Source organism: Homo sapiens, chromosome 19, assembly GCF_000001405.40.
Source record: "Homo sapiens chromosome 19, GRCh38.p14 Primary Assembly".
In the NCBI taxonomy this organism is placed as follows: Eukaryota; Metazoa; Chordata; class Mammalia; order Primates; family Hominidae; genus Homo; species Homo sapiens.
This window is the reverse complement of record NC_000019.10, coordinates 50,285,840-50,298,417: the sequence shown is the minus strand read 5'-3', so window position 1 is coordinate 50,298,417 and position 12,578 is coordinate 50,285,840. Positions and strand designations below refer to the sequence as shown.

Genomic DNA, 12,578 nt, shown 5'->3' with positions numbered 1-12,578 from the left:
ATGTGTGTGTGTGTGTATGTGTGTGTGTTTGTGTGTGTGTTGGGTTTTGTCCATGGTTCCTTGATCATAATTTGCATAGCCCTTTTAGAGTAAACAGAACCTCTCTCTCTAACCTCCTCCTGCCCCCTCTTTCACCTGCACAAGGCAGAAACTCTAACCTGACTGTGGATCACAGGACCCTCATTTCAGAGGGGGAAGGAATGCTGCATAGAGAAGCCAGGAAGAATCTGAACAGACAGGCCTCGCTGGGTTTAGATCGGACCCTTTTTGTCCAATCACATTTCTACGTGGTTGTTAATCACACCTATCCAGTGACGTCTCCATAAAAGGCCCAAGAGGACAGGGTTTGGGCAGCTTCTGGAAGCTGAACATGTGCAGTACCTGGAGGGTGGCGCTCCCAGGAGGGCACGGAAGCTCCATGCCCCTCCCCCATGCCCTCCCCATGCACCCATGGGGTGAATAGACTCCCACGCAAAATTCATGTCCACTCAGAACCTCGGAATGTGACCTTAGTTGGAAATAGGATCTTTGCAGTTGTAATTGATTAACGCGAGGTCACACTGGATTAGGGTGGGCCTCAAATCTGATACGGCTGGTGTCCTTTTAAGAGGAGATGAGGGCCAGGCAATGGTGGCTCACACCTGTAATCCCAGCAATTTGGGAGGCTGAGGCAGCGGATCACCTGACATCAGGAGTTCGAGACCAGCCTGGCCAACATGGTGAAATGCCATCACTACTAAAAATACAAAAAAAATTAGCCAGATGTGGTGGTGGGCGCCTGTAATCCAGCTACTCGGGAGGTTGAGGCAGGAGAATCGCTTGAACCCGGGAGGTGAAGGTTGCAGTGAGCTAAGATCAGCCCATTGCACTCCAGCCTAGGCGACAAGAGCGAGACTCTGTCTCAAAAAAAAAAAAAAAAAAAAAAAGAGGAGATGAGACAGAGCCACAAAGATGGGAAAATGCCTTGTAAAGTTAAAGGCAGAGATTGCAATGACACATCTACAGATGAAGAAACAGCAGGGACTGCCAGCACCCACGGGAAGCCAGGGGAGAGGCATGAACAAGAGGAACCAACCCTGCCCACACCTTGATTTCAGACCTCTGGCCTCCAGGACCACGAGAGAATACATTCCTGGCCGGGCGCGGTGGCTCACGTCTGTAATCCCAGCACTTTGGGAGGCCGAGGCGGGCGGATCACGAGGTCAGGAGTTTGAGAGCAGCCTGGCCAACATGGTGAAACCCCCTCCCTATTAAAAATACAAATATTAGCCAGGCATGGTGGTGCATGCTTGTAGTCCCAGCTACTTGGGAGGCTGAGGCAGGAGAATCACTTGAATCCGGGAGGCAGAGGTTGCAGTGAGCCAAGATCACACCACGGCACTCCAGTCTGGGTGACAGAGCGAGACTCCATCTCAAACAAACAAACAAACAAAAAAAAACAGAGAGAATACATTCCTGTTGCTTTAAGCTACTGTGTTTGTGGTAATTCATTATGGTGGCCCTAGGGAACTAACACAGCAACTAATTAATATTTTTTTAAAACGTTGCTGTTGAATTTAAACAGATTTCAAGGGATTAAATCAGTTGCAATTATTTTCCTCATTGAAGCTCAACTTGCCCCACTTTGGGCCAGCGCGAGGCTCTTCACGTTGACTTCTACGTGCTCTTGACATAACTATACTATCTTTCCTGCTAATGGGTATCGCAAAATGTTCTGGGTTACTCTTGTTCATTGCCTGCTCCAGATCTGGAATCAGCCACTTCGGAAGAAGCTCCAGTTTCATTTCTCTTCTTTTCTTTTTCTTTTTTTTGAGACAGGGTCTCACTCTGTTGCCCAGGCTGGAGTGGAGTGGCACAATTCTGGCTCACTACAACCTCTGCTTCCCGGATCCAGGCAATCCTCCTACCTCAGCCCTCAGAGTAGCTGGGGCCGCAGGCGTGCCCGCCATCGCACCTGGCTAATTTTTTTTTTTGTAGAGACGGGGTCTTACTGGGTTGCTCAGGCTGGTCTCAAACTCCTGGGCTCAAGCAATCCTCCTGCCTTAGCCTTCCAAGGAGCTAGGATTACAGGTGTGAGCCACTGCGCCCAGCCAGCCCCAGTTTCTTTTAGAGGGAAACAGCATTTCCAGATCACAACGTGGATATAGGGATACTCATTGCTACTGGGTTCCCTGTTTCTAGGCCTTTTGGGTGGTCAGAGAGACTGGATCTGTATAAAATACATCACCAGTTCACGTGAATATGATGAAGTCAAATTGAGAACTACAGGGGTTTGCTTAGTTTTGTTTTTAAACTTTTTTTTTTTTTTTGAGACAAAGTCTCGCTCTGTCACCCAGGCTGGAGTGTAGTGGCACGATCTCAGATCACTGCAACCTCCGCCTCCTGGGTTCAAGCAATTCTCTGCCCCAGCCTCCCGAGTAGCTGGACTACAGGTGCCCGCCATCACGCCTGGCTAGTTTTTGTATTTTTAGTAGAGACGGGGTTTCACCATGTTGGCCAGGCTGGTCTTGAACTCCTGACCTCATGATCTACCCGCCTCAGCCTCCCAAAGTGCTAGGATTATAGGCATGAGCCACTGCGCCTGGCTTAAACTATTTTTTAAACATAATTTATCACTTTTCTTTTTGAGACAGGGTCTCACTATGTTGCCCAGGCTGGAGTGCAGTGGTGCAATCATGGCTCACTGCAGCTTCGACCTCCCTGGGCTCAGGTGATCCTCCCAACTCAGCCTCCTGGGTAGCTGGGACTATAGGTGTGCACCACCACACCCAGCTAATTTTTCAATTTTGTGTAGGGATGGAGTTTTGCCATGTCATCCAAGCTGGTCTGGAGCTCCTACGCTAAAAGCAATCCACCAAAAGTGCTGGGATTCCAGGCGTGACCCACTGCGCCCCACTAAACGTAATTTCTTTTCTCTTTTTATTTCACATATATTTTTTGTAGAGATGGGGTCTCACTGTGTTGCCCAGGCTGGTCTCAAACACCTGGGCTCAAGCGATCCTTCCACCTTGGCCTCCCAAAGTGCTGAGATTACAGGCATGAGCCACCATACCTGGCCTGTTTTTTTTGTTTTGTTTTTTTGTTTTTTGTTTTGAGATGGAGTCTTGCTCTGTCGCCCAGGCTGGAGTGCAGTGGTGCGATCTCGGCTTACTGCAAGCTCTGCCTCCCGGGTTCATGCCATTCTCCTGCCTCAGCCTCCCGAGTAGCTGGGACTACAGGTACATGCCACCATGCCCGGCTAATTTTTTGTATTTTTAGTAGAGACGGGGTTTCACTGTGTTAGCCAGGATGGTCTTGATCTCCTGACCTCGTGATCTGCCCGCCTCGGCCTCCCAAAGTTCTGGGATTACAGGCGTGAGCCACCGCGCCCGGCCACACCTGGCCTGTTTTTAAAAAAAAAAAAAAAAAAAAACTTAATCTCTTCTCTAGGACAACTATATCAAGGTTCTTTGGTGCTGAGTACCCTGATGTCAAGGACGTAGTAGATGACATAGTATCCCATCTTTGATCATTTACTTTATCCCACATTATAAACTCAATGTCTCAGAAAAACAGTGCTAATACTATCACCATCAATTAAAGTAGGTTAAAACATTTTGCATATTTTCCCCATTCTCTCCATTTAAAAAGTAGTCTTACTACACATAACTGTTGAGCATATAATTATTACCTTTTTTTTTTGAGACAGGGTCTCACTCTGTCATCCAGTCACCCAGGCTGGAGTGCAGTGACACAATCATAGCTCACTGCAGCCTCAATCTCCCAGGCTGAAGCGATCCTCCCTCCTCAGCCTCCCAGGTAGTTGGACTACAGGCATGCACCACTGCACCTGGCTAATTTTTAAATATTTTGTAGAGAAAATTGGAGAATCAGGAGAATCGCTTGAACCTGGGAGGCAGAGGTTGCAGTGAGCCGAGATAGCACCACTGCACTCCAGCTTGGGCAACAGAGGGAGACTCCACCTCAAAAAAAAAAAAAAAAAATTAGAAAAAAACTAATGAAGAATGCAGACATTGGTTTGTCCTTGGAAATCCCATCACTCTGTTGTCTTCTTGGCAAACTCTTACACTTCCTTTAAGATCTCTCAAGGCATCACCTCCACCAGGAAGCCTTCTCTGATGGCCTCTATCCTCCAGGCTAGGTTGGTAGTCCCTTCTAGGTTCCCACAGTGCCCGTGTTTCCTCCATTTTCACTTGTATCTCTGTATTGGGATGGTCTATTTCCTCCTTTAGACTAAGACGTGTTTGAGGGCAGAGGCTTAGTATTAACCATCTCCAGGTCCCCAGCATAACCCGGAATAGGATCTGGGCCACCGGAATCCTCAGAAAATATTTATAAATAAATATGCAAAGGAAAACATGCTTTTCTCCCTCTGCTGAACTCCAACTTATGCTTTAAAACCCCCAGCCAAATGTCTCTTTTTCCAAATGTTTTCTTATGACTCCTGCAGAAAGTCTTTTCTCTCTCTCTACTGGGCCCAGGAGACTTCCATGATCACACTTGCTGGCCCATGTCTGTTTCCCCACATAATTCATCTTTGGATTTAGCCCTGAAGAAACCCCTCAGAAATACAAGTGAATCATGCCTTTCAACCCTTTTAAGAACTCCTATTCAACCTTCAAAACCCAACTCAAATATCCCCTTTCTATATTTGTTGAATAAGAGGACTGAAGGTTACGGTCCCAGGTCAATGGGGACTGAGGCTGGTGGGGGCGGTCAATCACGCTCACCTGCAGGAGCAGCTTGCGGTAGCGGTCATTGAGCAGCTCCGAGTTGCTCTGCTCCTCCTCCAGCTCTTCCTCCAACTGCCCCAGGCGCCCCTCCAGCTGACGCTTCTCCTCCAGAATGGCTGCCCTAGGGAGACAGGAAGGCGTGGGGATGAAAGGACAGGATGGTCAGAGGAGGGTGCCTTGCCTCACACTACAGGACCCTGTGGTTAGCCCCACGCATCTCCCCAGCCTCACACCCCAGGGGCCCCGAGGTTAACCCCGCCCACCTCCCAGTTTCCTGTCCCAGAGCCCAGCCACCTCCAGCCTACCCCAGCTTCACCTCCTGCAGACGCAGTACCTCAGCCTTCAGACCCTTGGGGCACTTACTTGCTAAGGTTACCATTGGCCACCTCATCTGCCATCTCATCCCGGTCCTGCTGGGCCTGCCGCCGAGCACGGTCCGAGGCGGCCAGTTCCTGTGATGATGGAGGGGTGGCCGGTGGGTGTGAGGAGAAGCAATCTGGGCACGGGTCTCACCCCTTTCTCTGTCCCTCACACCTCAAGGCTCTTGGCTTTTTTCTCATGCTGTCCCTGGGTAACCCTGGAATGAGCTGCAACCTACAGATGTCTCCTAAATCTGTCTCCTGAGCCCCTGACCTGTGCTCACCTCTTGCAGCCCAACCCCCAGGCCCCTCACCCTCTCCACCTTTTACTGCACACAGGTCCTCCTCTCAAACCTGCCTCTCCTCCAGGGTCCCCCAATCACCGGGCCAGACCCCCAGTGCTCTCCTCCCCTCCTCCGGCCCCCCTCACCATAGCCTTCTCCCTCCTGCCTTCTGACTGCCTTCTCCGTCCTCTGCATCCCCTTGGCCCTGGCTCAGGGTTCTCTCTCTCTTTCTCAATCTCTCTCTCTCTCCCCTCTCCCACTCCCACTCCCACAGCCTTTGTGACTCCAATCTCCCCACTCCAGTTCAACTGCTACAGAGCTGACCCTGCCCATCCTCTGTTCTGGATCTTTCCATGGCTCCCTAGTGCCCTAAGACAAAATCCCTGCTCTTAGGCTGGCATTGCAGGCCACATGGTAAGACACACCCACCTCCCGAGCCTTACACCCTGGGACCCTGTGGTTAGCCCCGCCCACCTCCCCAGCTTCACATCCAGGGACCCTGTGGTTAGCCCCGCCCACCTCCCCAGCTTCACATCCAGGGACCCTGTGGTTAGCCCCGCCCACCTCCCCAGCTTCACATCCAGGGACCTCAAGGTTAGCCTTGCCCACCTCCCAGCTTCCTGTCCCAGGGCCCAGCCTACCCCAGCCTCACCTCCTGCAGCCGCAGCACCTCAGCCTCCAGGCCCTTGAGGCGCTTTTCACTTTCCCGATTCTGGGAGAAGATCTCCTCCCGGGAGGTGCGTGTCTCCTCCACCTCCCGCCATAGCTCCTTCATCTGGGCCTGGGTGGAACGGAATAGGTAGATGGGCTCAGCCTGGCCACACAGCACAGGGAACTCCTCCACCCCCTTGCCAGACCGACGGGGCTCCTCAGCTCCCGTGAACAAGCAGGGAACTCTCCGAACCCTGCAGACCTGGGCTCCTGTGTATAAAGCCACTTGCTGTGTGACCCTGAGCCAGCCTCTCCCACTCTGGTCCTCAAGGGAGGAGGTTGACCTGGCTGAGAACTAGAAGGCAGCTGGAAGCCTGATGGAGCCTGGCTTCAAGTTAGATAGACATGGGTTTGAATTACAACTTGGCCATATCCTTGCTGGGTGACTGTGAGCCAGCCACTGCCCCTCTCTGAGCCTCAGTTTGCCTACTGTTGATTTATTTATTTTATTTCTATCTTTACTTTTTTGAGACAGTCTCGCTCTGTCACCCAGGCTGGAGTGCACTGGTGGGATCTCAACTCACTGCAACCACTGCCTCCCGGATTCAAGCAATTCTCCTGCCTCAGCCTCCTGAGTAGCTGAGACCACAGGTGCGTGCCACCATGCCTGGCTAATTCTTGTATTTTTAGTAGAAACAGGGTTTCACCATATTGGCCAGGCTGGTATTGAACTCCTGACCTCAGGTGATCTGCCCATCTTGGCCTCCCAAAGTGGTGGGATTACAGGTGTGAGCCACTGTGTCTGGCCAAAAAACCATATGGTATTTTCACTTCAAAAACAAAACCATGGGGGCGGGTGGATCACTTGAGGCCAAGAGATCGAGACCAGCCTGGCCAACATGGCAAAACCTTGTCTCTACTAAAAATACAAAAATTATGGCGCACGCCTGTAATCCCAGCTACTCAGGAGGCTGAGGCAGGAGAACTGCTTGAACCTGGGAGGCAGAGTTGCTGTGAGCTGAGATCACGTCGCTGCACTCCAGCCTGGGTGACAGAATGAGACTGTCTCAAAAAAAAAAAAACCAACTGAACAAACAAAGAAACAAACAAAAAAATGAGGAAATTTGACTTAAAAGTGCAGCATTTTAAATGAAAGAAATGTAAAATAGAAGAAGAAGGAAGCCAGCCTCTGGGGCATGGATGTTTATAAAGGTGCTGACCCATGCGGATGCTGCCTGTGGGTTGAGAGCGAGGGGTCCGAGCTAGCCTTAGACCCTGGAGTGATGGTTGGGGCTTGAAGACACCAAAGCCTCCCCTCCCTGCAGCTCACGCCGGCTCTTACCTGCATCTTGCGAAGCTGCTTCACCGCCTCCTCCTTGCCCTGGCCGGCAGAGGCCATCTGAGCCTTCAGCTCCTCCAGCTCTCCCTCCAGCTTCTTGCGGGCAGCCACGGCCAGAGTGCGCTGCTTCCGCTCCTCATCCCGCTCCACCTCTGCATCTCTCAGCTGGAGAGGAGGTCAGGAGGGACCGGGTCAGACACAGGAAGCCCAGCCTCCCTCTGTGTGCTAGGGACATGGATGTCTGCCCTGGAGCTCCTGCCCAGGCTGCAAGCCCCGCTCCTCTCACTCCCTGACTCTCTTTACTTGGTCTCCTCTCTATCCCTACTGCCCCAGCTCAGTCCCCCATCTCACCTAAGCCTCCTTTCTAGCCTCTCATCTCTCCCCTCCAGCCCATTCCAACACGTCTCCAGAGCTGATCCTGCTCATAGCCCTCCCATGGTTCCCCAGTGCCCCCAGGGCCAAGTCTTGGACACTCAGCCATGTCTAAGTCAAAGGGGCTAGCAGAGACAAAACCCTGCAGAGACCCCTGGCCTTAGGTCACCTGTTCACCTCTCTTCCCTGCCTCCCCAGCTTCTAGCACCCTCCACCCCAAGTCTGTTGCCTACATGGCTCCAGCGGGGTCTTTCTGACACCCAGAGCTGCCCCTGCCCCTCACCACCTAGTAGAGGGGAGACATGGGAAGTTCCTGGACTGAACGAGTAATGAATGAACGATGCAGGGAGGGAGAGAGCAATGGAACAAACAAGGAAGCGAGGGAGCGATGACTGACTGGATTGGGGAAGGATGTGGATGGAGGGGAGGGCGGATGAGCAGGTCAGTGAGTCAGTGACTAAGTGGAGTCAGCAGGGGGTGCTGAGGGGCTGGGGTTGGGTAAATAGGGGAGGGGTTGGGTTGGGGAGAGGAGATGGGTTGGAAGGGAGTCACTGGGTGGATGGAGCAGTAGTTGGACACAACGCTGGTTGGGGGAGAGGCTGTATGTGGGTGGTTAGGGTAGTTGAATAGATGGGGTGGCAGATGGATGGGTGAATGGTTTGTGTGGTGGATGGAGGATGTATGATTGGGTACAGCAACAGGTCAACAGGATATGTGTGTGGGTTAATGGGTCATGGCAGGTTAATGGGTTGGGGAATAGGAAGATGGTTTTGTGGGAGGAAGATGGTTTGGCTGGCACGAGAGACTGGCAGAAATACTGAGTGGCAGGCAGGTGGGGAGACACCGAGTGGCAGGTGGGTGGGGAGACACTGAGCAGTGGAAGGGTTGGGGAGATACTGAGTGGTCGGCGGGTGGAGGAGACAGAGTGGTGGGTGGGTCGGGGAGACCCCTTGCTGCCCTTCTTGCTGCCTGTACACACCATGGCATACCCCAGCTGGACTGGCACCCTGTGGCCTTCTGTGTGACAATACCTGCTTGGCCAGCTGCCTCCGCCTCTCTTCACCAGCCTCATCACGGCCCTGCAGGTCACGCTCATGCTGAGTCTTGAGAGCCTGCACAGTCACCTCCAGACGCAGCTTGGCATCCTCGGCCGCTGTCAGCTCATCCTCCAGTTCTGTCACCTGTGCTCGCAGATCATTGGCTGCCTGTTCTGCTACCCGGCAGGCTCGTTCCAGCTCATGCACCTGGTGGGGAGAGTAGCTGCTGGGTACCTGGGTCACTGAGGCAGAGGAGGTTAGGAGCCTAGCTAGAGTAGGGGAAGATTTGATGGAGGATGGGGAGATGGCAAGTCAGTGTGCCCATCCTAGTTTGTTCATTCATCCATTCAAAATCTGCTGAACGGCTCCTTCCTAGGTGTCTCATTCAGCATCACCCCAAAATGTATTTCATGAATAACTGATGCTTCATAATTCTATTATCTGAAGCCCTTCAGAGTCCAATACAAGCGTCTGTTAGGTCAGCTGACTCTCACTCATGGTGGATTATTCCCTCTGAGTTTTGTAATTTTGCACTGTGAGCTCACTCACTGGGAATTCATCTTTGGGAATTCTGTGCGAATGGGTTGAAGGCACGTAGCTCCAGGGTCATCAGTGCTGGTGTTTGCCAGACTCCCCAGGGTGTCACCGACCCACTATCTACTTCTATTGGGTTTTCTGTTTGGGAGGGTCCCTGATCTTTCAGGGAGGTATGAATTAAACCCCCAAATGCTGTGAAAATAGAGCTGGGCTTATGAATTTTCAGAGACTCCCCCTTCACCCCTCTCCTTACTTAACTGTCACCTCCTCAAGGAAGCCTCTCTTAACCCATCAGGGCCTCTCTGCTACCCATGCTCCTGGCACTGGGGCCCCTCTCCTACCTAGCCCTAGTCACAGTGGTCATTTGACATTTGCTTAGGTGGCTTTTTGTGCAACACCCGCCTCCCGCACTGAACTGTGAGTTCCACAGAGCAAGGCCTATGTCTGTGGATCGCCACTGCCCACATGATGTTCATTACAATTCTGGTCACTGACAGTATCTACTTTCGGTCCGTGGAATGGGCCCTCTAGCCTCCCTTCCTATTTGGTACTTGCCAATTTATTTTGTTTACTTGAAGGGATCAAACTTTCTCCCATCAACATCCTGTTTCCCACAAGGGCCTTTGGAGTCACTACAAATAACCTGACATTTTTCCCAAGGGACGGACCTTAACGGCTCAAGTATGAGCTGGGTTTTAGCTCAATTATCCCTAGGGCTGCAGGCCAGGTCTGTGTCAGGGAGAGAGGGGTTCTCTCCAGGCCTGGCTAAAAGCAAAATCGGATCAACGTCTAAGTGCGTGGAGAAGATAAAGCCCTCACCCATTGGACTCCTAGAAGCACGTTGTTGGGAAAATAAAGAAATAAGGATGTCAAGACAGCATCTATTCAGGAGCTCAACAAATTCTGCCAGTGCCTCCCATCATTAGTGAGGGTGGCCTGTGTCCCTGGGTGTGATCCATAAATGTATTCAGAGGATGAATGAAGGAAGGATGGAGTGGAGGATGTGGCGGGTCATTTTGACCATTCGGAAGGCTGGGACACTGGCTGGGTGAGGGGAGCCTGCGAGAAGCCTTGGGGCACCACCCTACAGGCCCTGGAGGGATACACGAGTTAAGGGAAGACAGAGGCTTGGTGGGAGAGTCTGTGTGTGCTCAGTGGAATTGGTGGCAGGCAAAGTGGGAGTCCTCACACTGTGTGTGTGTGTGTGTGTATGTGTGTTATGTATGTATGCATGCACCTAGTCATGTCGGGGGAGTGGTTCTCAGGCTGTGTGTTGTAGTAAATTCTCTTCGTGTTCTCTCTCTGAGCATCCATACATATGTGTGGTGAGTAGTTTTCTCATGCTGTATGTGTACATATGCACATGAATATGTGTATTTAATGGAAAATTCTCAGCAAGGTGCAGTGGCTCATGCCTGTAATCCCAATGCTTAGGGAGGCTGAAGTGGGAGGATTGTTTGAGCCTAGGAGTTCAGGACCAGCCTGGGCAACACAGCAAGACCCCATCTCCACAAAAAATTTAAAAAACAGCCAGGTATGGTGGAATGCACCTGTAGTCTCTGCTACTCGGGAGACTGAGGCAGGAGGACTGCTTGAGCCTAGGAGACTGAGGTTGCAATGTGCCATGATTGCACCACTGCCCTCCAGCCTGGGCAACAGAGCAAGACCCTATCTCAAAAATAAAACAAAACAAAAAACAAACAAAAACAAGTAATAGAAGATTCTCCTTACATCCCGTGTACACAAATGTGAGCATGTGTGCTTTGTGAGCAGCTCTTGTATTCTGTGTGTGAACACATGTGCTGGATGGAAGATTCTCCTCACGTTCTGTGAATGTCTACATGAAGACCTGCCTCTGGTGAATGGCTCTCCTTACTTTCTATGCGTGTGCATTAGCACAGTGTTTGGTGGAGATTCTCTTCACGCTGTGTGTGTCTATATGGATGCAAATGTTTGCTGAACAGTCCCCCTCTTGTTCTCTTTTTTTTTTGAGACAGTCTCGCTCTGTCACCCAGGCTGGAGTGCAGTGGAATGATCTCGGCTCACTGAAACCTCTCCCTCCTGAATTCAAGCGATTCTCCTGCTTCAGCCTCCCAAGTAGCTGGGGTTACAGGCATGTGCCACCATGCCTGGCTAATTTTTGTATTTTTAGTAGAGACAGGGTTTCACCACATTGGCCAGGCTGGTCTTGAGCTCCTGACCTCAGGTGATCCGCCCACCTTGGCCTCCCAAAGTGCTGGAGTGCTGGGATTATAGGAGTGAGCCACCATGCCCAGCCCTCTTGTTCTCTTTGTGCATGAACATATGACTTTGATGGCTGGTTGTTTTTCATGTTCTATGTGTGAAAGCATACATGCATGTACGTGTCTCCCCTCACCCAGTGTGTCCCGGGGAGCGGGGGCCCTGCTCACGCTCTTGCCGACGTCATCCTTGCTGCTCAGCAGTGCCTCCAGCTCAGCCCGCAGGGCCCGGTTCTGCCGCTCCAGCTCCTCACGTGCCTCCTGCTCCTCCTCCAGTGCCCGTGTCAGTGACAGGGCCCGAGCCTCACGCTCCCGGCCCTCTGCCTCGGCCCGCTCACGTTCCTCCACTGCCCGAAGTACAGCTGCCTTCTCCTCTGCCAGAAGCTTCCAGTTTGAGGGAGATGGGGTAGGGGGAAATAGATTAGCTGAAAGGAGTGTACAAGGGAACGGGAAGAGGGAGCAGCCAGGAACAGAGAAAGAGAGAGAAAGAGACAGACAAAGGCAGAGACACAAGAGGGAGGTAGAGGGATTAAAGTTGCAACCGTGTCCCAAACCAGCTTAACTCTTGAATGGATCAAACTGATCAGTCCCTAACTCTATATGTTCAACAGAAGAAAGGGCATTCCTTCCTCTTAAGAGTGGCAGTAGAAAAAATACACATATATATATTTTTAAATGTACTTCAACCTTTACTGTTTTTTTTTAAGACACAGTAATTGGCAAATAAACTTATAAAACATGCAAAAAAGAAAAGAGAACAGAACTCATAGTTAAGAGAAAAATCAGTCCATACAAATAGACCCACAGATGACCTACATATTAGAACGTGCACACAAGGACTTCATGATAAGTTTCAGAACGAGACAGATACAATGGGTGAAGAGGCAGTTATTTGAGGAGGGATTTGAAACTGTAAAATAGAACCACATAGAAATGCCAGAACTGAAAAATGAAATATCTGAAATAAAAAAGTCACTGGATGAAATTAGTAGCAGACTGGACACATCAGGAGAATCAGTAAACTTG

General features: G+C 51.2%; 1 protein-coding gene across 3 annotated transcripts in view, besides 2 other annotated features; it reads right to left on the bottom strand.

Moving 5' to 3' along the window:
* MYH14 (myosin heavy chain 14) overlaps positions 1-12,578 on the bottom strand; it is a 106,919-nt gene that overhangs the window by 12,123 nt on the left and 82,218 nt on the right. For all 3 annotated transcript variants that reach the window (NM_001145809.2, NM_001077186.2, NM_024729.4), the window contains 6 exons: positions 11,724-11,936; positions 8,770-8,982; positions 7,370-7,531; positions 6,029-6,157; positions 5,097-5,185; positions 4,731-4,854 (listed from right to left, as the gene is read on the bottom strand). In NM_001145809.2, coding sequence (NP_001139281.1) covers positions 4,731-4,854; positions 5,097-5,185; positions 6,029-6,157; positions 7,370-7,531; positions 8,770-8,982; positions 11,724-11,936 — 930 coding nt within the window. The remainder of the gene's footprint in view (positions 1-4,730; positions 4,855-5,096; positions 5,186-6,028; positions 6,158-7,369; positions 7,532-8,769; positions 8,983-11,723; positions 11,937-12,578) is intronic.
* Positions 5,558-6,085: an enhancer, noted in NCBI's record as "H3K4me1 hESC enhancer chr19:50795590-50796117 (GRCh37/hg19 assembly coordinates)". NCBI's record gives its function as "activates a minimal SCP1, AML or CMV promoter by ChIP-STARR-seq in primed H9 embryonic stem cells {active_cell/tissue: H9 hESC(primed)}" and the evidence as "EXISTENCE:reporter gene assay evidence [ECO:0000049][PMID:30033119]".
* Positions 6,086-6,614: an enhancer, noted in NCBI's record as "H3K4me1 hESC enhancer chr19:50795061-50795589 (GRCh37/hg19 assembly coordinates)". NCBI's record gives its function as "activates a minimal SCP1, AML or CMV promoter by ChIP-STARR-seq in primed H9 embryonic stem cells {active_cell/tissue: H9 hESC(primed)}" and the evidence as "EXISTENCE:reporter gene assay evidence [ECO:0000049][PMID:30033119]".